We start from the raw sequence: 821 nt of genomic DNA, 5'->3' as shown, positions 1-821 counted from the left end.
TTCTTTTGGTATGTTTTTAAAATTTATTAACATTCAACCGGCCGAGCACAGTGGCTCACGCCTGTAATCCCAGCACTTTGGGAGGCCGAGGCGGGTGGATCACCTGAGGTCAGGAGTTCGAGACCAGCCTGGCCAACATGGTGAAACTCCGTCTCTACTAAAAATACAAAAATTAGCCAGGCATGATGGCTGGCGCCTGTAATCCCAGCTACTCGGAAGGTTAAGGTGGGAGAATCGCTTGAACCCAGGAAGCGGAGCTTGCAGTGAGCTGAGATCACGCCATCGCACCTTAGCCTGGGCGACAGAGCGAGACTCTGTCTCAAAAAACGAAGCAAAACAAAACATTCAATCAAATAATGAGGATCTTTATTTTTTTTTTTAAACAAGATGTGGCCAGGTGTGGTGGCTCATGCCTATAATCCTAGCACTTTGTGAGGCTGATGTGGGAGAATCGCTTGAGTCTGGGAGTTCAAGACCAGCCTGGGCAACATAGCAAGACCCCATCTCTAAAAAAAGAAAAATTTTTTAAAATTAGCCAGACATGATGGTGCACACCTGTGGTCTCAGCTGTCTCAGAGGAGGTGGTAAGATTGCTTGGGCCCAGGAGGTTGAGGCTGCAGTGAGCTGTGATTGCATCAGCACTCCAGCCTGAGTAACAGCGTGAGAATTTGTCTCAAAAAGGTAAAATAAAAAAGCATGTGTAAGAGAGGAACAATGTTTTTTTTTCCCAAAAACCTTTAATGGGAGAGAAAAAAGCAGAGTTGATATACCTAATGTAAATGACGAGTTAATGGGTGCAGCACACCAACATGGCACATGTA

This window comes from Homo sapiens, chromosome 12, assembly GCF_000001405.40.
Source record: "Homo sapiens chromosome 12, GRCh38.p14 Primary Assembly".
NCBI lineage: Eukaryota > Metazoa > Chordata > Mammalia > Primates > Hominidae > Homo > Homo sapiens.
Note: the sequence above shows the minus strand (reverse complement) of the source record.